General features: G+C 34.3%; 1 long non-coding RNA gene across 1 annotated transcript in view; it reads right to left on the reverse strand.

Annotated features, from left to right (window-relative positions):
- The window catches only part of LOC105374277 (uncharacterized), a 32,373-nt gene extending 5,560 nt beyond the window's left edge, over positions 1 to 26,813 (reverse strand). Inside the window, exons 1-2 of the long non-coding RNA XR_924827.2 lie at positions 26,727 to 26,813; positions 24,596 to 24,669 (exon numbers count right to left, since the gene is read on the reverse strand). This is a non-coding gene — a long non-coding RNA (uncharacterized LOC105374277). The remainder of the gene's footprint in view (positions 1 to 24,595; positions 24,670 to 26,726) is intronic.
- Between the last annotated feature and the right edge of the window lie 783 nt (positions 26,814 to 27,596).

Genomic DNA, 27,596 nt, shown 5'->3' on the forward strand with positions numbered 1-27,596 from the left:
CAAAATACACTTCTCCCACCAGCTGCATCCCTATGCCTCATTCTCCCAAGAGGTCTTTCCTGACAGCCTACTCTAGGTTGAGTACCCATGACAAGTGTTCTCAAAGCATGCTACTCTATTGCACCTCATAACACTCATCAAGTTTATATTACTTGTTTTTATAAGACCGTAAACTCTCTGATACATTTATTGCTATATCCCCAAGAATATAGCCCAAAAACTAGTTTATGAATGACACTCAAAAAATATTTGTTGAATGACTGAATATGAAAGAACCCAAACTTATGGGTTTTATTTTTTTATCTTGCCTCTACTCATTTACAGCAGTAAATCTGCAAGCTTCAGAAGTTAAGAACTTTGTCCATTGTATTCACCAATGTTTCATTGCACATGGTATCTGTTTAATAAAATTTATTTTGTGAAAGGCACTCTCTTAGGCTTTAAGAAATTCACTTACTTGTTTGTTTTAAATTTCAACCTCTAAGGTATAAATCTATAACCATAACATTGCTTATTGTTCTTTTGCCTAATCTCTAAAAAAAGTTTAATAATTGAATAGAATTCAATTAAGCGTTCTCCTAAAACTAAATCTGAGCATGTTTACAAATGTCCATGACCTTCCTCTGATCCATCTTTTCCAAATGTATATATTACATGAAGTCCTTAACACTCCTAGGCTCACAACTATGAGTCATCTTTGGTTTCTTTGTCTCCTTCATCCCTTGTACCACACTGAACACAAAGTTCTGCCAAGTCTTCCTCTAATACATTATGCAACAAGTCTATTGTCTGTTGCTGACCTACAAAATACTGCAAGAGGCACTGATACAAAAATGGCCTCTAATCCCTGAAGGCTTACCACCTCTTAAGGAGAATGTTGTCAACAAATGACAAAATATGCTATAAAATAAAGAGATTTCCATACAAACATGCATGTACCGTGTGCTCACACAGAATAAACTTTTCTGTTGTAGAAGGTCAAAGGAGAATATGCCTATTTTCAATGATACAAAAATATGTTGTGGAGAAAGACACTAGCAAATGTAGGTAGAGATGAAGATGTAATAAGATGTAAAATAATTGTGAAATCGTGTGTGCCCACAAGTTGGGCAGTGTAGACTGAAGTTACTGAGCAATAGGTAGATAAGATAGTGATGCATTTCAATCAATAATATGTAAGATTAATCCAAAAATCCATCAATGTTTGAAATACACATAGGAGAGAAAATAAAGTCAGAGATTAAATTCTGCTCAGAAAGGTTCATGTAATATGTAAGTAAACTAAGGTGCTTATAATAAGAATAAATATAAAATAAATATAAGAGATATTACAGAAGTTCATCCTGTCATGTTAGAAACTATCTGGATTTGGAAAGAAAACCAATGATTTGGTGATTTACAAAGCACTTGTGTCATACCTCATTTTGATTCTCACGAAAGCTTTATTAGATGCAATGACATAGATTCATTGGATTAGAGAGTACACTGAGCCTAAGAGAAGGAAATAGTTTACTTAGGGTCATAGTAGATAATCTAGTGGCAAAGTAGGAACTCTGACCCATATGTGATTTTTAATGTAGCTCCCTTTTTTAAAAAAGCATCAAAAAATGATTCTTGGAATTTTTTAGTTTTAAGCTTTTCCATTTCCAAAACCCAAGAAGTAAAGAAGGAGTTTTGGCTGAGTGGCTCGTCATAAATAAATGTATTATCTTCAATTTTCCTCTTATTTAATTCATGTAAGAACATATGAATAGTGCCTGTTGTTATGATATTTCTCAACTTCAAACCCACCCTTCTATACTCTATTTTGAAATGCTGAGGCTGGGACTGCAAACTTGTGCTTTGGCAGCCTTTCCATTAGAGCTGGTCAACAAAAATTGCTACAAAGAGGCTGCATACTTGGAAGAAGACAGGACTTGCTTTTGTGTTTTCCTGAGGGCTCTTTGTGACCTTGTGGTTCTCATGATCAGGACCTCAAGAAAGCTTTGTCCTCATAATAGTTAGCAGTTGTTCCTGTAGCAGCAGCATCCCTTCCTCAGAGGTATGAGTCCCAGAACCCATGAGGCCAGACCTCTGAGCTCAGAGACAACAGCAGCACAGAAGCGGAACTCCCTCCTGAGCAGTGTGACTTAAAGATCTACAGCACCCTTCCTCCCTTGCTCCTTTTGTTTTCTCAGCTATAAGGATGGCAGCAGCTTCTACAGTTTCCACCTCTCCTACACCTTAGAATTATTCTTTATTTGTTGGCAACTTTATACCTACTTAAAATTATTTATATGAAATCTCCTTTGTCAAATTACTACTGTGTTTTCTGTCTCCTGTTTGGACCCTGACTAATACATCAAGTTTTCTAGGACTCCCATAGTAATCAAATTCTACAGAGGACTTCTATTGCCTCATGCTAACATCTCCAAATAATAAATATGTACCAACCCATTTAACCCATCCCTAACAATTTTTGCTCTTGCTTTACATATAATTCTTCTTATCCTCTAAGGAAATATATCCCCTGGTTTCTAAATACATTGTCCCAGAATGCCTTCATTATGCTTCCTTGCTTAAACTATTTTCTTTTCCTTTCTTTCTTCCTTCTCTTTCTTTTTCTTTCTTTCGTTCCTTCCTTTCTTTCTTTCTTTTTTCTTTCTTTTTCTTTCTGTCTTATCTCTTTCTTTCTTTTTCTGTCTTATCTCTCTTTCTTTCTTTCTTTCCTTTCTTTCTCTTTTTCTCTTCCTTTCTCCCTTTCTTTCTCCCTTTCTCTCTTTCTTTCTTTCTCTTTCTTACTACATCTTTCTTTCTCCCTACCTTTATCTATCTATAGTTTACCACTTAGAGCACCTCTAGATTAGATTCATAATTTCTGCCCATTCTAATTATTGCTATTGATATAAATCATATATAAATAAAAATATATATGTTGTATAAATGTTAATGATTTATATAACAAAACAATACAATATAGGTAATAGTATTCTACTTTTAAAAGAGTAGCAATAATTTCATCACAATGTTATCTAAAAGAGTCTCAAATTGAAAACAACCTAAATGTCTAACATTAGGAAAGCATTGAAGTAATATTGTATATATGTTTAAGTGAAATATTATACATATAATAAAAATATTACCTACAAAGAATTTAAGTGACGTTGAAAATTGATTATGACTTATGTGAACAAATAAAGATATAATATATAACCATGACATGATCTTAACTATGTAAAAATATATAAAATAAAAACTACACAAAAAAGGAAAAAGTTGTTAAATAAAGAAGGAATCTGAGGATTAGTGAAATTGTGTCTCTTATGATTTTCCTCATAGGTCATTATATTTTTTTCACTTTCTCCCACTAGCTTCCACAGTCCTCAGAAAGGGAAATGTTGGTCTATAATACACAAGATGTATTCAAAGTATCTCACGTGGTCCTCTGGATGAGGTCGTGCCAAACACATGTTTTCAGAGTCATTACTCTAATCATGATTTGCCTACTTTGCATGTAATTTTCCAGGTGAACTTCTCATCTATATAGGGTACTAAAGAACAAAAAATTTGGAACCAGGAGGCCTAGACTTTAGTTCTGAGTGTCACACTTTCTAATAAGGTATCTTTAGGCAGATCAATTCTCTGATCCTTATTTTCTCATCTGTAAAGATAAATTTTTCAAGACCTCACAAGATTGTTGGGAAAATTAATGAGAGATTACTGTTGTTGGTAAATATTATATAAACTGGAAAACTTATACAAAATAAAGTATTTTTTCATCATATTTATTATTATTACTATTATTAAAGTAGAGTCTGCCTCTGTTGCCCTGGCTGGAGTGCAGTGGTGTAAACTCAGCCCTCTGTAACTTCTGCCTCCTGAGCTCAATCAACCCTCCCACCTCCACCTCCTGAGGTCAAGCTATCTTCCCACCTCAGTCTCTTGAGTAGTTGGGACTACAGGCATGCACCACCAGGCCAGAGTAGTTTTTGTAAATTTTTTTTTTCTTTTTCAGAGACAGGGTTTCTCCATGTTGCTCAGGCTGTTGTGAACTCCTGGACTCAAGCGATCCACCCGACTTCACCTCCCAAGGTGCTGGGATTATAGGCATGAATCACCATCCCCAGCCATACTTTGGCCAAAACTCAAGGTTTTATCAATCCTCAAGCCTCTAAATTTTGATAAAATACTTCCTTTTGGTAAATATTCATCATAATACTTCATATTCAGTATAAATAAATGGAACTTTTCTACAAGGAGCAGATGCAATTTCAAGCACACCCTCCCCAAGCCCCATCTCTCTGTCTCTCTGTCTGTGTCTGTCTCTGTCTCTCTCTCTCCCTCCCTCCCTTGCTGAAGAATTTGGGTGCAACACCTAAACCTACAAGCTGACACTGTTAAACACAAACAAAGCATTTACTTTAGAGTAAGAGCTGTGTCTTACAAGTATACTTCCCAATGAGGCAGGTTCCAGAAGGTCTATATTGTTAATATCTTAATTGATCATTGTCAGCATACATCACTTAAATAGCCTCCTTATTCTAACCTTTCCCTGTTTGGAATTTTGAATTTTAAGAAGACCATATCTTACAAAGCAGTTTTCATAAACATAGTCAATGTGAGGGGAATACTTGGCTGCTTTAGTTTTCAATCCTTATTTTCTTATAGGCGTTACATTATTTGGAGAAAATGTTTCCAATTTAATAATAAAATATGATAATTAGACTTCATCAATATCCAATTATTTTTATAATACCTACTTAACATTTAGATTGTTCCCATAATTTTAACAGTATGAAAATCTATTAATAGATTATCTCCTGAGCTCTTCATAAAGAAATACATTTATTAAGGCTGGGATGGTAAGAAAGTGAAGAATGAATTTTTATTTTTCTATGTTAGTGACAGACCCACAAAAACTTAAGGCTGTGAGAGTTTTTACTGGTTATTCTTCTGTTTCAAACTTCTCACCAATATTGAAATGACTTCCACTGCATCTCAAACTAGGCTATGTCTTGCTTCTTGAATATTCCCTAGGAGGGAGTACACATGTACAATGTACACAAAGTAGTCTATTCTTTGATGGATGGATCTAATTACTTCATTCAAATATTGAGCATTCTCTTTTACAAAGCTAGGTAGTGGGACAGATTATGAGTCAAAGTTCATGATATCAAGACATTTGCTGCCTGTGAAGTGTCAAAGGATCATTTGGTACTTATTTCTATTACAGTCCTAACCACCCTCTACTATATGTATGATACTGTGCCTTTCCTCTGGATAGAGCATAATTTCACCACAGTAGAGCCCATGTTTTATTAATTTTCATACCCAGCAGTAAATAAATGTTACTTAATGAATAATAAATGAATATGAGGCCCAATAATGGCACAATTTTATATATATATAATCCTTTATATTGAAGTGAAATAAATCATGCTGTAAACTGCATGTCCCTAGAATAGTTTTATCTTCTGATATTGCCCAACATAAGCATTTTTCATCTTTCTAAGGACAGCCTAGTGATCATAGATAGCTTTTAATATACTCCCTTCTTTAAACCACTCACTCCCTGTCCTTTTATATGTTTTCTATACATGATGATGATTGGCTAATTCTTTATCATACTGGTTATCCTTCTCTAGTCACACTTTTGTGTGTCAACATCATGAATTATCAAGGAATAAAGTAGAAACGTGTGAGAGTATTAAAACATTTCTCTTTATACAAAAAGAATGCTTTCTTGTCAAACTTAATTATGTCTTTTTATCTGGGAAAGTAGCCTGAAAATGGGAAATAAAAAGAAATATCAATTGTAGGGGAACAGATGAGTTGGAGGACCTAGGTCTTTTCCCCGGCTTTGACAAAGATTATTTATCCTCCACACTTTTGACTTGTGTGCTTACACAGTCTACACAGCCTGCAAATGTAGTTCCATGCCTTTCCCTTCATTTAGTCAGTAGGAGGGTACTTAGAATTGTTGAGTTTCTATGAATGTGGTTTCAGATTCTTGGCTTCAGATTCCATTAGTGTATAAAAACATGCTTAATTCTCATAATATTTGGTTTCTCAAGGTCAGAAGAGTTTTGTGGTGTTTTCATCTGCTTTCTATTGCTATGACAGAGTAACTGAGTCTGAGTAGTGTATAAAGAAAAGAAATTTATTTGTATCATAGTTCCAAAGACTGAGAAGTCCCAGGGCATGGCAGCAGGTTCTGGAAAGGGCTTTTGTACTGGCATAACATGACAGAGGGCATCACTTGGCAAGAGGGCAAGGACATGCCAGCTTACGTCCCTCTTCCTCTTCTTATAAAGCTACAAGTCCCATCATGGGGGCCCCACCCTGATGATCTAATCTAATCCAAATTGCCTCCCAAAGCCTCATCTCCAATCAACACATGAATTAAGGAATAGTTTCTAACACGTTAAATTTAGGGGACATATTCAAACCAGAGCAAGTAAGATTTCAGTGTGAGACTTCAATGAAACAAAGGCATCGTTGTTTACAAATATATTCTAAGCAAAGACTTGTAGCACCATAAAGGTGCAGCCATTGAACCTAATATTATAAATCAAATAAGCAAAGATCATTTCATTCTCCCATCCCATAGCCCCACTTTCTTCAATACTGAGCCTTCCTTCCTTTCAGTCTATTATCTCTGTCCTGCAACATAAAGTCTCTTCCATCTTCACTCAAAGATAATGGTTTTTTCCTTTGCATATTGCCTCTCTGTATTGATTGGCAAATACCAAAAAAAACAAAAACAAAACAAAAAAAACCCTCACAACTTTTTTTCTTATATTTTGCAATAGAATAGGAAAAATTAATTTGTTATTTTTTTATGTTGGTAGAAAAAATGATTATGCAAGTAGCCAATCAATATTAACACTGTGGGAAAAGATTGGTGGTTGTGGAGTTTTTGTTGTTGTTGTCTTACTATGAAATCCACAATTTCTTACTCTCTCCCTGTTGCAGAGGAGAAACTGGAAAAACAGATGAACACACGATATTGTCATTTTCATTGCAGCATTATGAACTAAAGAGTAATTATATTTATAATATTTATTTATGAATGTATAAAAATTCTGTTTTATAAATGTTTCATTTATTCTTCCTATATATTTCTTCCTTAGATGCCACAGTCAATAATAATTTCAAAAAAGGTCAACTTTACTTAGGGAACCACAGGTGTTTGATATTTACAGAGGTGGAAATGTGGTTTAATAGATTATTGCCTACCCTGTTGAAAAATAAGTGTGGCTTGCTGGGAAATGGAAAATGGAAATAGGAAATGTGATAAATAAATTTGTAATAAGATTCCAAATAAGGAAAATTATTATTAATTCAAAATCAAACGAAATTTTTAAATTGAGACATTTAAATGCAAAAAGGACCAGTACAGAGAATCCCATTGTTTGCATAAAGTTCCCCACAAAAACAAATATTAAGAAATAAAATTCAAACTCATATGCACACTTCCTCCTGAGAATTAATCAGTAGATGTGACAGAAGATCTGAGCTGCTTAATCTGATTTTCCATCATAGATTTTTTATTATTAAAAATTAGGTTAATGTTCATAAATTTATTTTTTTAAATTTATTGATAAAAGCTATATTAATAGTTGTTTGTGTCACAAAGGTTCAGGAAAGAATTATTCCCTGCTGATATCCAGCTTTAATTGAGACAAGGAAACCTAACTGTCATCCCCCATAGCTAGTCCTAGTCAAAAATATGAGATTTATTGCCTACTCTCTGCTTTCTTCATAATATATCCTTTCACTTCTCTCTACCTACCAATAGTTAAATAGCTACAGAATGTTAAAGAATCAAAGTGCTGGTAGGTTAATCTATATTGATCTTACCTCCTCCATTCACTAAATAAGAAATTTAAGGCAAATCTTTTTCTACCTCAATTACCTTATCTATTACCTCCCTTGTACAGTTGAATAAATATGGGAAATATAAATAATTATGGGAATGGATAAATTTATGCATATAAATCACTTAAGCTCTAAGTATTAATATTTTAAACTTATTATTGTGATATTTTCTCTGGACTCTATCAGAATGAAAGCAGTTGATAATCTCCTGTTAATTACTTGGCATTTTAGCCTCCTCTGTCACTCTCCCTAAGAGTTTATTCTTCAGACCACCATCAGATTAATATTCCCTCAAGACAGTTGTATTTATATCATTACTTTTGTGGCTACCCACTATCTACTAATTAAAATTAATTGAAAATAAAGGTGACATCAGAAACATTTTATGTTGATTCCACCTAATAATGTTTTATTTGATGGTAGTCAGTGACAGTATTTGGTAAAGAGACACTCTATCTCTGCACACCAATATCTGGTTTTCCCAATGCCATACTGAAAAAACCATCTTTTTGTCCATTCTGTGCTCTTGGCAACTTTGTGGAAGATAAGTTGATTGTAGATGTGTGGATTTATTTCTTGGTTCTCTTTTCTGTTCCATTGGTCTACACATCTTTTTTAATGCCAGTGCCATACTGTTTTGATTACAATAGCTCTTTACTATATCTTAAAATTAATAAATGTGAGGCCTCAAGCTTTGTTCTTTCTGTTCAAGATTGTTTTGGTTACTTAGAATTTGTGGTTCTATGAGATTGTTTTTTTAATATATATTTCTATAAAGAATGCCATTGGGATTTTGATAGAAATTTCATTGATTCTGTAAATCAATTAGGGTAGTATGAATATTTTAATAATATCAATCTTTCCAATCCATAAACACAGAATGTCTTTCCATTTTTGTCTAGCTATTCCATTATAGAAGACACAATCAATGTTTTATCATTTTCAGTACATAAATTTCATCTCTTTCCCTGTTTATTCCTAAATATTTTATCATTTTGCTGCTATTGTGAGTAGGATTATTGTCGTAATTTCCTCCTAGATACTTTATTGTTTTTATATAGAAACATGACTGATTTTGATATTTTGATTTTGTGTCCTGCAACTTTAGTGAATTCATTCTTTAGTTCTGTTTGTTGTTGTTGTTGTTGTTTTTGTTGTTGTTGAGTCTATAAGGTTTTCTAAGTATATGAGCATGTCATTTGCAAGCCGATAGTTTTACTTCTTTCTTCCTTTCATTCCTTTTCCTTTACTTGGATACCTTTTATTTCATTTATTTGTCTTATTGCTCTGTGTGGGACATCCAGTACTATATTGGATGGAAGTGGCAAAAGGGAGTATCTTTGCCTTCTACCAGGACATAGAGGAAAATATTTACATTTTCCCCTATATATTATGATGTTAGCTGTGGGATTTTAGTATATGGACTTTATTGTGTTGAGGAAAAGTTCCTTTTATGCCTATTTTGTTAAGAGTTCCATATAAATGAATGTTTTGAATAAAATGAGTTTTGAGAAATGTTTTTCTGCATCTATTGAGATAATCATGTGTTTTGTTTTCTTTCATCCTGTTAATGTGGTTGATTGATTTGCATATGTTGAGGCATCTTTGCATATAAGAGATAAATCTCAGTCATTTTATGTAATGCTTTTTTTTATGTAATGCTTTTAATGTGCTGTTGAATTTGCTATCTTATAAATTAGGCCATTATCCCACACTGTATTAAAAAATCAACTAAAAATAGGCTAGAGACTTAGACACTAGACCTGAATCCACAAAACTAGGGAAAAAGTTAAATAAACCTAGGGGAAACTAGATAAACATAGGGAAAAAGTTTCTTGACATTGGGTTGGGCAATGATTTTTTTTGGATATGACAAAAAAAAGCACAGGCAACGAAAGCAAAAACAGACAAAAAGGATTGCTTCTAACTAAGAGGATTCTTCACAGACAAAGGAAACAGTCAGTACAGTGAAAAAAGCAACCTACAGAATGAAAGAAAATATTGACAAACATAGAAAAGGTGTTAATATCCAAAATATATAAGGAACGTATGCACCTCAATAGCAAAAACAAAATAAAACAACAAAAAACAACCTGATTAAAAAATGGATAAAGGGCCTGAACAGACACTTCTTAAAGAAGACATATAAATGGCCAATAAATGTATGAAAAAGTATTCAACATCACTAATCATCAAGGAAATACAAATTAAAACCACAATGAGCTATCACTTCACATCTGTTAGAATAGCTATTATCAAAATGATGAGTGTAGGTGAGAATGTTGAGAAAAGGAAATCCTTGTACACTGATGATGGAAATGTAAATTGATATAGCCATTATGAAAAACAATAAAGAGGTTTCTAAAAAAATAAAAATTAAAAAAACTACTAGTAGGCATGGTGGCTCATGCCTGTAATCTCAACATTTTGAGAGGCTGAGGCAGGAAGATTGCTTGAGCCCAGGAATTTGAGTTTACAGTGAGCTATGATCATACTACTGCACTCCAGCCTGGATGACAGACCAACATGCTGTCTCTTAAAAAAAAATAATAACTACTTTATAATCCAGCAATCTCACTTCTGAATATAAACCCAAAGGAAATTAAATCATTATCTCAAAGAGATATCTGCACTCCTGTGTTCATTTCAGCATTATTCACAATAGCAATATATTCCTAATTGTTCATTAACAGATGAATGGATAAAGAAAATGTGATTATATACACACACATACATAAACAATGGAATACTATTCAACTTTAAAATTAAAGGAAATTGTGCCATTTGTGACAACATGTATAAACCTAGAAGACATTACAAAAAGTGAAATAAGCCACTCTAAAATAGACTTACAGAGGTCTATTATTATAGAGGTCTAGACCCCTAGAGTCTAGGGGGAGGGGAAAATGGAGGTACATTGATCAAAAGATACAAATTGTTAGTTATGCAGGATGAATAGTTTCTGGAGATCTAATGTACAGTAATGTGCCTACAGTTAACAATACTGTATTGTGTACTTGGAATTTCCTAAGAAGGTTGATCTTAAGTATTCTTATCACAAAAAGATTTTTTAGAAAAAGAAAGAAAGAAAATGGTAACTGTGTGAGGTGATAGATATGTTACTTAGCTTGATTTGGTCTTTATATCAGAATATATATGTATCTAAAAATATCAGTTGGACACCTTAAATATGTACAATTTTAATTTTTCAGTTGTACCTCAATAAAGCCAGAGAGGTAATAGAAAGAGAGGATATATCTATAAGAGATATCTGATGAGAGTTGGGACTATATCTGTCTTTTCACGGATAAGACCTGGCAAAACGAGGCGTCCACATATTTCTTGAATGAATGAAGGAATGAATGTGAAGCTTGAGATTAATGCTAAACTCTCTTCATAGACATTCATTGAGAATTGCAGTTACAGGTTTAGTAAGTGGGTATCTGTTGTTTTACACTGTCAGCACCCATTCCTCTTTCTTTTGATAAAAGGACCTCAATATTCATTTAGGAAACTACCTGTGCAATATTGAGTGTGATCTTGGTGGTGACATCAACAAATGCACCCCCTCCTAGTCTGGGGAGAAGACCACCTGACAAAGCTGGATCAATCAGCGGTTTTAAAGAACTACTTTGTTTTTCTTTTCTTTTCTTTTTTTTTTTTTTGAGTATTGGTGACTCATTTTCTTTTGTTTGATTCTTTAAAAGCTGCCTACCATATTACCAATACATTATTCTTTTAGTCTAAGTTAGGTCCGGTAGGTTTCTCTTTCTTACAGTCAAACAATCCATCTGATATAGCTATCATTTATAACTAACATTTAACTGACTTAGCTAGGAAAGTAGTCATATAGATACAACATACATTAACTATTAGAATATCAGTACCACACTAGTAAGATGGCACTACTGATAGAAAATGATAAGGTCACAATTATTGTTTAAAAAAAACCTCTTCTGGTTCAACTCAATTTAAATAACATCTGTATTCAACTCTAGAAATATAAGAAGGATGAAATCACTGAAGACTGACTGAACTGTACAGCTCCCTGGCAGACATAACAGATGTCTGTCACTGAACCTATTGCAATCTCTCTCATTTCTAGCCAAGAGAATTCTCGTCTGTTGATTCACAAACCATGAATCTGTCTGAAAATTAATGAATCAGCTTCTGGCAATAGAGCCTCCTCCTCCCTCTGCAGTTACCTTGACAAATCCTTCCATACAGATCCCCCAAACACAATTCTGCAAACTGAAGTGAGTTCCGTGGAGGTCAAACTAATTCATATCCAAAGAGTGTCATAGAAAAAGTTATTTAAGGGAAAGAAGTAAGCTTATCAGGCAAATTATATAAAACTTTCTCAAACTACTGGCACACATTTTTCACATGAAAGGTAGAGTGGAGTTGTTTGCTTTTAATAATTATAAGCACTCAAAAGCTATACAAAGTGAAGTTCCATAGTTCCCTAATTCTAATTTTTCTTAATTTTTTTTCAGAATCCCCAGAATTCAAATTCTACAGATTTAAATTTGGAAATTTTTCCAGTCATCACAGACTTTCCAAGACAAAACAGCAGGGAAAAAAATAAACAATCTAGAGACCAACACCCCTGAATTCCATCTCCATGTCTGAGCTCTCTCTCCAAAGATCAATGTCCCTTTTAATCAAGTCAGCCAACTTTCATTCTTGTTGTCTTGCTGGGCATTTATTAATAGTGAGAGGTAGTGAATGACTTTACAACTTCTCTTATTATCAGTGCTAGGAGAGTCCTTTATATAGCACAGAAAGGCTCAAGTATACCACTATTCTGCACTCAAATTTTGCTTTGCAATTGGTTCACTACATAAATTTTTCTTTTTTATGAAAATTCTGCTGATAATATTCTGGTCATTTTGTAGCAGAATATGGGTCAAGCCATGCATTTCAACCATCCAAATGGAATATAAGAAAAAACAAGGTGGAAATATAACAGAGAACATTTGTCTTAATCCTCAAAACAAGAAAGAAAAGTAAACTAGATAAATGTTTTAAAATATGTATTACTGAAAATACTAAGAAACATTCTATTTAGATTATCAAACATTCACTCAAATCAATAAGAAAAGCAAGATCTTCCTAAAATCCAAAATTCAACATCTCTAGGAGGATATGTATATAAAGGGGCTACATACAAGATCCAATCTGGATGACAAAGGCTGAAGGATACAGAGTATTGTAAGTCTTTAAGAATCTTTACAGTGTATTTAAATTTTAGAGCTATAAAAACTTAGGAATATGATCTGTAACCATTTATCAGTTGGAAATAAAAATAAATATCACAATATTATACAATTAGAATTTATACAGTTTGCATTCAGCTGAATGGTACTTGGGTCTTAGGCCCCCACAGCCTCTTCAGATTGAAGAATAAAATGAACAGGGGAAGAGCTGGAGCAATAGGATATCAATGACAACAAGTTAAACAAATCATTACAGATTCTTGTGGGAAGTTCATGAGCCATTTTAACATGGATAGGGAGAGATTGCTATACCAACAATTACGGTTAATTACCAGACAGTGCTTCCCTGGGAATCAACAACATTTCACACTACAGCCTCCCAAGAATGGCTATTTTGACTCATCTGACACCTACAGTTTTATGTATATGAAACAGATACATGTTAGCAGTAAGATGTGAAAAATAAATTTGGGGCTACCTAATAAATGTGGATTAAAATTTTTGCTTTACAGACATACTAATCTTTTAAATGTGTGAGTAACAAGGCTCCTTTCCCTCTCTGTCAGATTTTTAAAGGTGGTTGGAGACCTGAACTAGGTATCAAAGCTCTGCCTATATGGAACCTCCACAAGGGTATCTATGGAAAAATTTGGGTGATTTTGGAATGCATTTTAAGTCCATGAATATGCATACCTCTGTTAGGTGTAGGACACTCTTTGATATTAGTGCCCTGGAGGGTTAGTAATTGAACATGCATTATCTTTATTTATTTTTTGTTTTTCTGCTCCGTAGCTTTTTCCTTTTAGAATTTCTTCCCCCTTTTGTTTTCTGTTTTCCTTTTTGGGGAGCATCTAAACCCTTGTTCCAAAGGGTGACCTGAAATAACACTTCAGTACATTTGAGCAAGCACAAAGATTGTCCTCAGGCATTCCCCATGAGAAATTTCGATGCTATCTCATCTTTTCAAAGATATGATCAGATGAGACCCTGAACAGATTCTGAATCCAACTAAAGATCTAATTAAGTAACCCCAAGAAAATTTCCCATTCAGAGATTCTGTGCCTTTATGAACTTCCTCCTAATCATCTCTTGGAAGGTAAACAAAATCACCTTTTTCTGCATTTGCCAGCTAGCAACAATGTGTATGACCTTGACTACAATAAAGAGTTCAGTATTGCCAGGACTGGAAAAATAATTGACAGTGCATAGCCTATTGAAGCTGAAGGAGCAATGTGATTTCTGTCTGTGAGGGCAAGCACATTAAACATAAAGGCTAATCCGTGGACACACAGAGCCCCACTAATCCTTGCAAACCATAAGCTGCTTTACAAATTTTATCATGAACTGGCAAAGCTTGTTTGCAACTCTAAAAATCACAGAATTACTGAAACATTTAGTTGGAGGACCCAGTAAGGTCATTCACTAGCAACATTCATTAACCTATCTCTAGTCAGCTTTCCTTAAATTCTCTAACAGAGAAGATTCTCTTAGTCTCGGATTTCTCAGGGAAAGACACTCCATAACCTCTTTTGTATTTCCTTCCTATTTTAAAACATCTCAAAATATAGACATTGTTTATTATTAACTTCTACCTCTTTTTTAAAAAAATAAATAAACCCTTAAAAATAAAACAAGGCAACAGTCCACTGGGTTAGAAGAAAAAAATAAATCCCTTAAAGAAAAGTAATTCTAAAAACTGTATTGAACCATATTCACCACTTTTTCCTAAACTCCTGTTTTAAACATTTGATGATATACTATGATGGAATTTATCCATACAGCACATAAAGCTGTTTATTTTTTGGTCTCTGCCTATTTTTACAGCTTTACCTACCACTACCCTACTTTTCTTCCACACCAGCTAATACCAGTTGTATTGATGGTACCTGAAGTTACCATCTTTATTTTCTCAATCTTTGCAACGAACATTGTTCTTTAAGACATATTTTCTCCCTTGTGAAGCTTCCCTTACCTCACTTTAATCCTCTTTGTGTAAATTATTTTCAAACAGCATTCATATATATATATATAGAGAGAGAGAGAGAGAGAGAGAGAGAGAGAGCGAGAACAGAACATATCACAATATATGATTACATCATACATATTTCTCTATATTAGGTGCACTCCTCTTCAAATTAGGAATTTGGTTTTATTTTCTTTTATATCATTAGAGGAAGGCAAGTCATTTGTCCTAAATAACATTGGATAAATTGTATACAAGTTGTGGAGCTTGTATTTATGAAGACAAAAAATGTACTGTTTTTCATTTGATGTGTTATAAACCTTTTTTCTAAGAATTTTGAAAATCATTCACATTTCCTTAGTGCATTTAGAATCACAGCTGATGCCATGATAAGAATCTTTCTAAAAGGTGAGAACAGAACACCATTAAAGAAATTCTGAGTTATCTTCTTTTTGATAGACAGAAAAACAGTTGGCAAAAAGACTAAAAATGAATAATTAACATTAAGTGATTAAAAGTAGTCCATAGTTAAAATTACAATAATTAACTTTGACATGGCATGTAATACCTAGAGAAAATTATCTTACTATATATGTTGTATTAATTATAAATGTAAAATGTTACAAAAGGAGAAATTGCCTTTTTGTAAATCCTGAGCAATATTTTATCCTCTGTTCAGGATGAAAATATCCTGAACACCTGAATACATTTTATCCTATATGTATTTATCCTTTATATATTAAATCTTATCTATATTTTATCCTATATTCAAAATGTGTAAGAATCAGAAGATGGCAAGGGAATGTCTCTTGCAAGCATCAATTTTAAAACATGGTTTATACCATAATCTTCTTATTAGATATCTAGGACTCCAGAGCCCAGTATTCTTTGATACATAAATTACTAAGAATGGCTTATTTAAATTTTTAGAAATTAAAATTATCACAGAACTTCAAATTTAACACTGAGTTAATAAATATTTGATAATATTATTTTATACTTTTCCAGAGTTTCTATTTTTTTAACCAAAGACAAGGTCTTTTACTAAGATTTATCTAAAGCAACAACCAATCTAGGCAAATATTAGTAGATTCAGAGATAGAAAAACTGAAGCTCAGAGAGAGGTTTTGTAACTTATTCACAGATCACGCTGATAGTTCATAATATTGTGCTTTGGAATTAGGTTTCCTAACACAGTGCCTCACACACATACCACCATGTATCATAGCTACGGCTGCAGCTGGGATACAAGGTTAGAGTTTAATTTCTAAACAAGAGAAATAACTCTGGACTTCTAGTTTCAGCTCTGACATACAAAATGTTTGGAAATCCTTTCTCCCACCCTTATAACAAGAAATAGCTAGACAAACTAAAAATCAATGACATTTCTTGGACATATTAGAGAATTGAGGTCAAAGGGCATCACCACAAAATCTGAAGACACAGGCACATCAAGAGAGATACAGCCAAGATTTATTTTTCTGGAGCAAAAGCCAATGGCCCATGAACTTCTAGTAGTGGTTAAATGATAACTTTTATGAATTCCTGGAGGCTGAATGCAGACTAATTTGAGAGAGAGAAACTCTTGGTGGCCATAATATTAGTGAAGCCCCCATATTTACATGGGTTTTACCTCTAGGAACCCTACAAGATTCTCAAAATGAGCCAAGAAAAATCCACTGACAGGTCTGGACAGGCAAGAGGGAAACTAACCATTTTGAAGTATTTATAAAGTGTTCTTCATAGTGAAGACTAGCTCTCCAGTAGAAAAGACTTTACTGGGGTGCTAAATGACCTAAGGTAGGGTCACCTCCAGCCCCCTTTGCCTTTCTGTCTCATCTAAAGGAGGGGAAAAAAAAGCCAAGAAACACTTGTGAAGATTATAGTTCGGAGACAAAGACTCTCCAAAAGGCTGAGATTTAATCAAAAGATTATAGAATGTTTTCACTCCCTTATTATTTAACAATACATCAACAGGTTTCCAATATAATAATAGTGGATTATGACTGAAAGAGCTTCAAGACACAGACTCCATTTAGGAAAGAGCTTTTAGGGAACCCCCACAAACCCCCAAAAAGGACAGACAAAACAAGAACAGTAGGGAAAATGGAAACTTTTGGCACGTACTGCTACAGCAAACATTAAACACGGGCCAGCTCCTAGCCAGGTAAACATATAATCTCACACTGTAGAACTATTTACATCTTCTACTACATCATACATCATGCCTAACTTTTAACAAAAAGTATAAACCATTCTATAAGAAGAAAAAAAGCACATTATCTGCAGAGATAAACCAAGTATCAGAACCATCTTCAAATATGGTATGGATATTGGATTTATCAGCTAGGTAATTTAAAATAATTATAATTAATAAGTGAAGGGTTCTAATAGAAAAAGTAAACAACACCCAAGAGGAGATGGGTAATGTAAGCAGAGAGGTGGAAATGTCAAAAAAAAAACCAAAAAATATAAATTTAAGGATTAACATAAATGAAGAATGTCTTTGATGAGCTCATCAGTAGACCAGAAACAACCAAGAAAAGGGTCAGTGAGACTGAAGATATGTCAATAAAAAATTTCCAAGTTGAAATGCAAAGAGAAAAATAAAGAAAGAAAAAAAGAAAACAAAAGAGAATATCCAAGAATTGTGGGACAATTTCAAAAGGCATAAGACATACATAATTGGAATACCAGAAGGGTAAGACAGAGAATGGTGTGGAATAAATATGTGAAACAATAATGACTGAGGATTTCCAAAATTAATGATAAACACCAAACCACAGATTCAGGAAGCTCAATGAGCAACAAGCAGGATAAATACAAAATATATATATATATATAGATATACACTTAGGCATACGATATCATAATTGAGAAAAACAAAAACAAAGAGAAAATTCTTGAAAGAAGCAGAGTGAAATAAAAAGCCTTATTTATAGAGGAAAAAAGGTACAAATTACAGTAGACTTCTTGTTGGAAACCATGTAAAAAAGAAGACACTGCAATGAAACATTTAAAGTGTTGATAGAAAAAAAATCAAGAATTATACATATGATGAAATTGTCCTTCAAAAGTAAGGGAGATAAAGACTAAGAAAAACAAAAATTGTAGAAAATTGTTGCCCATAGACCTGCCTTGCAAGAAATGTTAAAGGAAGTTCTTCAGGGAGAAGGTTTCCCAATACTGACACAGCATTTAAACATAACAATTTTTCTACAAGAGGAAATGCTCAAAATGTAATTTTTAAATCTAATTGTGTTAATTTAGATTTTATTTTTCTGATTTTTAATTGGTCTAATAAATACATATTCAGAGTATGAAAATTAACAGTATATTGGATGTTTATGGCATTTGGATAAGTGAAATAAATGACAGCCATGTTATAAGGGAACATAGAAGGGAAGAATTGGGTAGCACATGGACTTTGTTAGAAGGTCCCTGTGCTACCCATGAAGGAATGTAGTGTTATTTGAAAGTGGATTAGCTGAAAATGTATATTTCAAAGCCAATAGCAACCATTAAAAGCTCTGTTAAGGCATTATAATTGATATGCTAAAACAGGAGAGAAAATAGAACTTTGTAAAATGCTCAAAGTCACAACAGGCAAAAGAGGGGAAGATTTTAGTCACACACACAAAAAATGCAGAAAATAGAAAACCATTGTAATAAACATGGCAACTATCAATCCAACTAAACCAATAATGACTTTATATGTATATTGTCTAAATATACCAATTAAAAGAACGAGATCATCAGAGTGTATTAAGAAGCAGGCCCAACTATATATTGTCTACAAGAAACCCACCTTACATATAAAAACACAGATAGCTCAAAAGTAAATACATAACATATACCATGCTAACACTAATAAAAAGAAAGCTGGAATAGATATATTTATTTCAGACAAAGATGACCTCAGAGAAAGAAATATTCTCAGGGATAAAGCGGGGCATTGCATAGAGATAAATGTGTCAAATCTTGAAGAAGACATAACAACCCTTAATATGTATGTATCAACAACAGGGCATCATAATATGTGAGACAAAAACTAATTGAACTGCAAGGAGAAATAGACAAATCCACTGTTATAGGTGGAGACTTCAACACATCTCTACCAGTAATTGATTAATCCATCATCAGGCCAATCTGCAAGGATATAATTGAAATGAACAACACTATTAATCAACTTTATCTAATTGATATTTATACAGAAAGAAGCCTCAGCAATCTCCAAGGAGGTATGAAGTTGGATCACCTCTGTCCATTTCACTTTGCTGATATGAGGATATATTGAGAGAGAGAGAGTGCATGTGTGTGTGCATATGTGTGTGTGTGTGTCCAGACCAACACCAGGCATAATACTACAACAAGGTATGACTTGAGTGTATATTTATTTAATCTGAATCTTTAATATATTCACCTTTACTTATTGTTAAAAAAGGTACTCTTCTGGCCGGGCGCGGTGGCTCACGCCTGTAATCCTAGCACTTTGGGAGGCCAAGACAGGCGGATCACGAGGTCAGGAGATCGAGACCATCCTGGCTAACACGGTGAAACCCCGTCTCTACTAAAAACACAAAAAATTAGCCAGGCATGGTGGCGTGCACCTGTAGTTCCAGCTACTCGGGAGGCTGAGGCAGGAGAATGGCAGGAATCCAGGAGGCGGAGTTTGCAGTGAGCGGAGATCACGCCACTGCACTCCAGCCTGGGCGACAGAGTGAGACTCTGTCTCAAAAAAAAAAAAAAAAAAGGTACTCTTTCTACTTTACATACCTCTGGAGAAGTGACCCTGAGCCTTGGCCTGTTTTCAGGCGCCATGCTACCCCACTGTTACCCAGACTAGTGGCACAGGTTATGCACACTGAACCCTCAGCTCGGCTGCTCTCTAGTTTTAGATTGACCTCTCCATTTGTTTTACCATGGGCCTTGCCATGACTCAGTAGATGTGTATAGTTCCAAGTACTCTCCTGTTCATTAAATTAATGCCTTCAAAGCTTTACTGTTATATTTAAAATACTTAATATTTCACTACAATTAAAATTTAAAAAAAATTTTAATGAAAAAACTGAGTGCTACTTTGTACAGAAACTGTGTGGCCCATAATTAAAGACCACATTGGCCCACATTGAATTAGAACTATATGGACCACTGGAAATAAGGACTAATCAGACACTCCAGCAAACTTTTCAGTGTCTTCCTACAATGCATTCCATCCAAAAGTACATGAGCAAGTTTCTGAATTTTTTGACATTTCCAACAGCAAGAGAAAATCCAGGCAATGCAATTTTTAGTCCAAATATAAAATATTCAGTACATTGTCAAATTTTATTACAATCACAGGGAACATGAGATAAAATCTGATCTATTAAGAGAAACCTGGAAAATACTGTCATACACTTGTGACCTATAACTGACCTCCTGCTAGTAGTGAAGAGAAGGGAATGAATAAACTAAATTAACTAGCTGGTATTAAAAGGAGGAAAGTATTGCCTTTAATTTTTTTTTTCTTAACCAGTAAATAAAGCACGATAATTATGTTTTCTCAACCAGCAAATAAAGCATGATAATTACGTTTATGGTCACAGTGCCTGGCACACAATATGCTCTCAACAGATATTAACTGTCTCATCTTTTTCCACCCAGGAACCCAAGGCCAAAGGTTACAACCCATGTGTTATATAAACTCTGAATGTAATAAAATTTGACTGTCATCTGCTGCCCGCAGACATATCTGCCTTAAAAAGAGCTATTCCTGTTATATTTGCATTATCAATACACATCTTTTCCTCCTTCAGCTTCATTCAGCAGGCTCTGTGACCACTCTGATACAAATTCTACCCCAGTGGCAGCTAGAACACTCCTGGTATCCCAGAAGGAACAGAAACAAGAGTTTGCTCTGCCTCTCGATCTGTACTCTGGGCTTGGAAGCAGCAGCTATCTTAATAAGTCTGCCCAGTCTTGCTTCTCATTAAGGAATATTTAACACTCTCCAAATATTAATAAGGATCTTCTTACAAATGTGATCTTACTTGGGAGCAAAGCCTTATGGCTTTCTTTTTATAAACCAGACTAAAAACACAGCATAATCCTTCTGTTAATAAGGAAGGAGAAAAACAAAGAATCAGTTCTTTGCTTGTGGCAAGGAATATGTTGTTAGACCTCCATGCATCTGTGGACTCTGTAAAAAGAAAACTCTTACTAATAATTTCTGAACCTAAAGTTAACTGTGACTCCCAATGAAGCTTCTTCCCATAAACTAGAATCCTTTTAATCCTGAAGCTGTGTATTTCCAAATTAAAAAAAAAATCACCTGAGTCTTTCTTTAAATGTGTTTAACAAAAAGTTCTTTTTTGCCAATGTGTGTCAGGCACAAAGAGGATTCAATTCTTAACAAATACTCCCTAGTTGCCTAAACCACAAAACTATTGGCACAGTCGAATATATATTTACTTGATTCCTACGCTGTGCAAGCCTATGCTTGTTGTTTTAAGGAATATAGGAAATATTAAGTGTCTGTTCTCACAGTCCAGGCAAATCTATACATAAACCTCAACTCCACCACTAACTAGCTGGGTTAGCTTTGATTTTCTTATTGGAGCATGTTCTAAAGATCATTTGACATGTTTTTTTCACCATAGATACGTCTTGTGCTGCTGGGAGAGCTTACACTATAGTCTGAACTTCTACAGAGCCTTTTCCTACTGTAAACCTCACTCAAAAATGACAGCCTTCCATTTCACAAGGTAAATAGACCACAGCAGTATTCCCAAGTATGGAATATGCTAACTTCACCCAAAAGAGGCCTATAAGAGGTTGTGCTTCCTTCCTAGTGGTGGAACTTTTCAAACGGATTAATTTGTCCCTTACTTTGCCCTCAAAACCAAGGGTCAACAAACTACTTGTCACAGGCCAAATTTAGCCCACTGCCTGTTTATTGTGAGTAAAGTTGTATTTTCATACAGCCCATTCATTTGCAAATTGTGTATGGCTATATTTGTGCTTCAACGGCAAAGCTGAGTAGTTGTGATAGTGTCTGGCCTGCAAAGCCTTAAATCTTAACTATTGGGTCTGACCACTTGCAGAAACAGTTTGCCAACTGCTGCTCTGAACCTCTGAACACTCAGTAGTTCCTCTCATGTGGCAGATATCTGAATCTTTATAGGTTTTATGTCTTATCATCTGTTGTCCATGTATTTTTCCAGACCTCTAAACTTTTTGCCAAATCTTGCTCATCTATTCTGATTAAATAAGTTTATAAAGTGGCATGGGCACCCTATGATTTTTAACTTCTTAATGATTAATCACATTTAGCCTTCCATTATCTTTCTCCAATGCATCAATAGCTCCCAGCAACAGCCAACCAATCCCATAATCCTTTTATTGACTACTTCCCTGTACCTCTCAATTACCTGATATATTGTACCGGAAGAGCTTTTTCATCCAATAATATACTTCCGCAGTCCTCTATCACTGAAACATTGGACAACTGTACTGCTATATCTTGCCAGGGTTATCATTCCTCCTCCTACCAACTTGTAGGTGATGCAACTCTCAAATTCCACTTTAGTATCTGTCTTTGTACTACCCCTGGTACCCTAATATCAACTGTCATTGGTTGGGTTCCTTAGAAAAGGAGATGAATTTACATGCAGCAGAACTTTTGAGGGTGTGTGCTAAAGATCAACTCCCAGAAGTGAGGAAAGCTGAACTGAGCATAGGGAGGAATTGAACTGTGATGAAGTTGTAACAGAGAACTCAGATGATCCCATGGAATGCTCTGGAGCTGAGCCAGCCCAGAGTAAGTCTGGAGGGCCAAGTCATTGTACTCCCACAGCAAGCAGTTTTTAACAGGTTGCAACAAGGGGTGGGGTATTATCTTCAGTGAGGCAGCTCTCTTCAGTCCAGAGCAAATCGTAGAAAGAGTTATTGTATTTGTGAGCTGTTAGTAGACAATAGTTTCAGCCTGACCCCTGAAGTGGGTCTAGACAGCACAACACACTATCCATTCCACGGATGTAACGAGCAAAAAAAAAATCCTAGAAGGGTACTTTAATTCCAATAGTGAGATGGTTGGAATAACAAGCCAATAATAACCAAAGCTAATAGTCAAACGCTCTTGGAATGAGTTCTTGGAATCGAAGACAGCTTTACATGCCGCATCAGATGTGTATTGCTGATGGGAATGTCAAACAGTATAGCCACTCTGGAAAATAGTTTGGCAGGTTCTTAAAAACTAAACAAGCACTTGTCATATGGCCTGGCGATTGCATTCTTAGTCATTTAACCTGAAGAAATGAAAATTGATATTCACACAAAAACCTGTACAAAAAAGTGCATTACAGCCCAACACTAAACCCAGATGTCCTCCAATGGATGAACGGTTAAACAAAGTGTGATACATCCACACTATAGAATATTACTCAGCAATAAAAAGGGAAACAAAAAAACAAAGAACTATTGGCACATAGAACAACCTGGATGGGTCTTTATGATGAATGGGAAAAAAGTCTCAAGAGATTACACACACTGTAGGGTTCTAGTCATATAGTATTATTGAAATGACATTACAGAAATGGAGAATAGGTTAGTAGTTGCCAGGCTCAGGAGTGGTAGGAAGAATTGAATTGGCTGCAGCTATAAAAGAGTAGCATAAGGGATCCTCCTGATGGAAGTATTCTGTTTTTTGACTGTGGTAATACATGCAAGCACATAATTAAACTAGTGATATCTGAATAAGATGAATGGATTCTATGAGAATTCTCCGGTTATGATATTGTACTATAGTAATATAAGATATCACCATCGGTGGAAACTAGTTAAAGGGTATACAGGTGCTCCCTATATTATTTATTACAACTACATATAAATCTACAATTATATCAAAATAGAAAGTTTACAAAAATATTTTGTGATGTGTTTTACATTCTGTAAAATACCCAAATAGAAGTTTTAATTAAATCATAGTTGGCAACAATTTGCAGGTATTTCTATTGTTTTTGTTGGTGGTAATATTTGCTCATATGAACCTAAGCACTATGAGGCCAGGCATTTACTCACCAGATCTGGTCTGGGGTTACATATGGGACTGAAAACTCACATATCATCTGGTTAGAGTAGCAAAAAGCAAGAAGACCTGGACAGTCTTCTCCATGCACAGGCCAAGCAGAGATGCACGGAGCAGCAGGAGGGATTAGAGTCTTGCATCCTAGGTTGACTTATCTATTTACCATTTTATTGCTTGAAATACAAAACCTTGTTAAAATTCATGTGACCGGGCATAAGTTTAACTCTCAAGTTAGACATGTTACTTTAGAAACACAGATGGAGCACCTTCAAGAGAACGGCGGATGATTTCAGCCAATATTTAATTGAATTAGAATATTGGAAGGAGCTCATACTATTTTGTTTATCCTACAAAAGGAAAGTCTTTAAAAGAAAGGTGGTAGGATTTTTTTTAATGTTATCACGATTCAGAATTACACCTCTAGGAGCAAATTACAAGAGGAGTATTTCAACTCAATATAAGAAGAACATTTTAAGTTATCATTACCCAATAATAGAATACACTGCATCAGAACATCGTAGGCATCCTCATCCCCAGAGAGATTCAAGAAGAAATGGTGGCTGAAAGAGAAGCAGAATGAAGGTTATATGCAATATCTTCTGAATTTCTTTTGAGACTTCAGAATCTATAAATAGATTTTTTACATAATTTATTTTATATATAGGATAATTGAAGGAAGGAATGATTTTCAATGAAAAGGCCTTATTTAAAATTCTTACAATAGCCAGAAAATAATTTTGGCACCAATTTCAATTGGTGGCACTACCCCTAATGCCCAAGAAGATAGAGAACTTCCTTTGCTGTGATGTAATTCTTTTCTTCCTCAAAACTGGGACAATAATCAGTTGTACTTGATTTCATAATTTTTTGTGTGTTGAATAAAATTTTATTTAAAAATAATAAAAAGAATAATTTATATTTTATTATCCCTTGGATTTAAAATAACAACTACAATATTGTTATATTTTCTACTCTTTTGCTTAAAAATTTAATAGCACCTTCATTTAATACATTAGTATATAATCTCATCATTGTTATTTAAATTGTCATATTATTTCCTGCTGTCATCTCTTTAAGAAGAGAGATGGTTTACCCTATAATATTTTGGGGTAAATAACCCTGTTTGGAATGGTAGAGTAAATTTACATGTGGTTGGTGAAAATAGTATTCCAATTATTATAAATCCCTGGTAGAAATATGGCATAGGAGAGAAGTTTACAGGGTAATATTATGGTATGTATTTTTATCTATTTTATTTTATTTTATTTACTTTTATTTTTTGTAGAATCAGAGTCTTGCTATGTTGCCCACGTGGTATCAACTCCTGGCCTCAAGTGATCTTCCTGCCTCAGCTTACCAAAGTGTTGGGATTACAGATGTGAGCCACAGTGCCCAGTCTGTGTGTGTTTTTATAATTGGAAGTACATGACATCTTTTACACAATATGCAAATGCATATTGAGGAAGGAGGGAGAGCAACTATGTCTAAAAGTAATCACAATAAGTCTTGACCCATTAACTGTACAGATCAAAATCCACACCAATTTTAGATTCAGAGAACACTATGTCTTTTTAAAAATCTATTTAGAAACTACTTACAGTATTTTTTAGAAAATGCACAGGAACCCCTGTTAAGAAATAAAATATTCCTTGCAATAGTTTGCTGAGAATGATGGTTTCCAGCTTGATCCATGTCCCTATACCTAATGTTAAATGACGAGTTACTGGGTGCAGCACACCAATATGGCACATGTATACATATGTAACTAACCTGCACGTTGTGCACGTGTACCCTAAAACTTAAAGTATAATAAAATAAATAAATAAATAAAATATTCCTAACAGAGTTGAAGGCCACGCACAACCTTGTCATTTCACATGCCTATTTCACTGTCCTTCCCAATCAGAATAATCATTATGAACTTGGTGTTTATAATACCCATACATTTTATACCATTTCTTTCCAAGCACTTTTAGGAACATTTAGAAACTTTTAGTTACATTTAAGAAATGCGCACTGAAACAAATATAGTTCTATGATGTATTTACTGTTCAACAACAAGAGACACCAATTGTACACTGAAGTAGGAAACCATGGACTGGAATTCAGAGGCTTAACTCTGGTTCTGGCTCTCCATCAGCTAGCAAGTCACTTATCAATACACCTTATTTCCCTAATGTCTACAATGAAGAGGTGAAACTAGTTTAGCTGTTTCAAGCTTTTTACCAAAACAAAAAATGCTTTTTGGTTGTTTGTTTTTTTCAATTTATATTCTGCAATTTGTGACACTAGTAAAAGTACCCGGTCTACCTTTCCTAGTTCATAAATTATCATAAAGTCACCAACAAATTTTCTGGTCTGTGTAAGGTACTCAATGTTTTCCCTCTGAGTAATTTTAATTCTAATGTAGATGAAAAAAATAGGTCATTTTAATATACCTGTGGTACATTCTTATACTGGGTATATAGAGTCTCTCTCTCTCTCTTTCTCTTTCTCTCTGTGTGTGTGAGTGTGTAGGCAATATCTGAAGGATGATCTTTAAGTATCTAGAATAAATTGAGTCAAAAATCTATTTTGAATACAGGTGACAGCTTCAATTTCAAAAACATTTACTTACGGGTCTTTCTATGCTTTGCATTCAATAATTCAACTCAACACAAAATGCTGGCGTCATTCTCATCTTTTAAAGGAATGATAGGCATGCGTCCAGCTACATGATAAACACAGACTTGTATTAAATTTATTTATATTTGAAGTTTGACTATAAGTTGCAGTAGTCTGCATAACTAAGAATCTCTATTACTCTAAACACCCATATTTTCAGATGTTGGTTTTCATATTCAATGTTTCAAGACTGAAGGTACAAGTGAAATTATTATCAAAATATGATCCATGCACACCTGCATTAGAATCACATATGATATTTGTTAAATTCTGAGTTTTGGAGAACTTACTCAGACCTAATGCATCGTAATGCAGGCCATGAATATCTTGACACAGAATAAATAACAATTGAGAACTGCATTTCAGAAAAGTTTCTTAGCTGATTCTTTTGTTTCACAACTTCTCTCTAGTACAAGAGCCCAGCTCCCCTCTCCAGCTCCATTAGAGCCTCTGGGATCTATTCCACCATCAGAATAACAACAACAACAATGATAATACAATATTCTAGAACTTAAATTGGCATAAACTCTCAGCTCTTCATTAGAAAGAGAATCTATTTGGTGGACTAAACGAGACTTAGTATTTGTAGGGACCCAGATCCCTACTGACAAGAGCCTGAGTCTAGGAAGTACTTAACATAGTTAGAATCACTGCGGTAATTACAAGAAAGGTTCTGTCATGTTAGTTGTTAGTGTGCAGAAGAGATTTTTATCTTCAAGAATAGAGCATAATTACCAAATGGAAAACAAAAAAACTCATCCCAGAAGCAATATGTTAATTAACTGACTTAACAACATGTTGTCTTTACATTTTGACTTTGATT

This window comes from Homo sapiens, chromosome 3 (genome assembly GCF_000001405.40).
Source record: "Homo sapiens chromosome 3, GRCh38.p14 Primary Assembly".
Taxonomy (NCBI): Eukaryota; Metazoa; Chordata; class Mammalia; order Primates; family Hominidae; genus Homo; species Homo sapiens.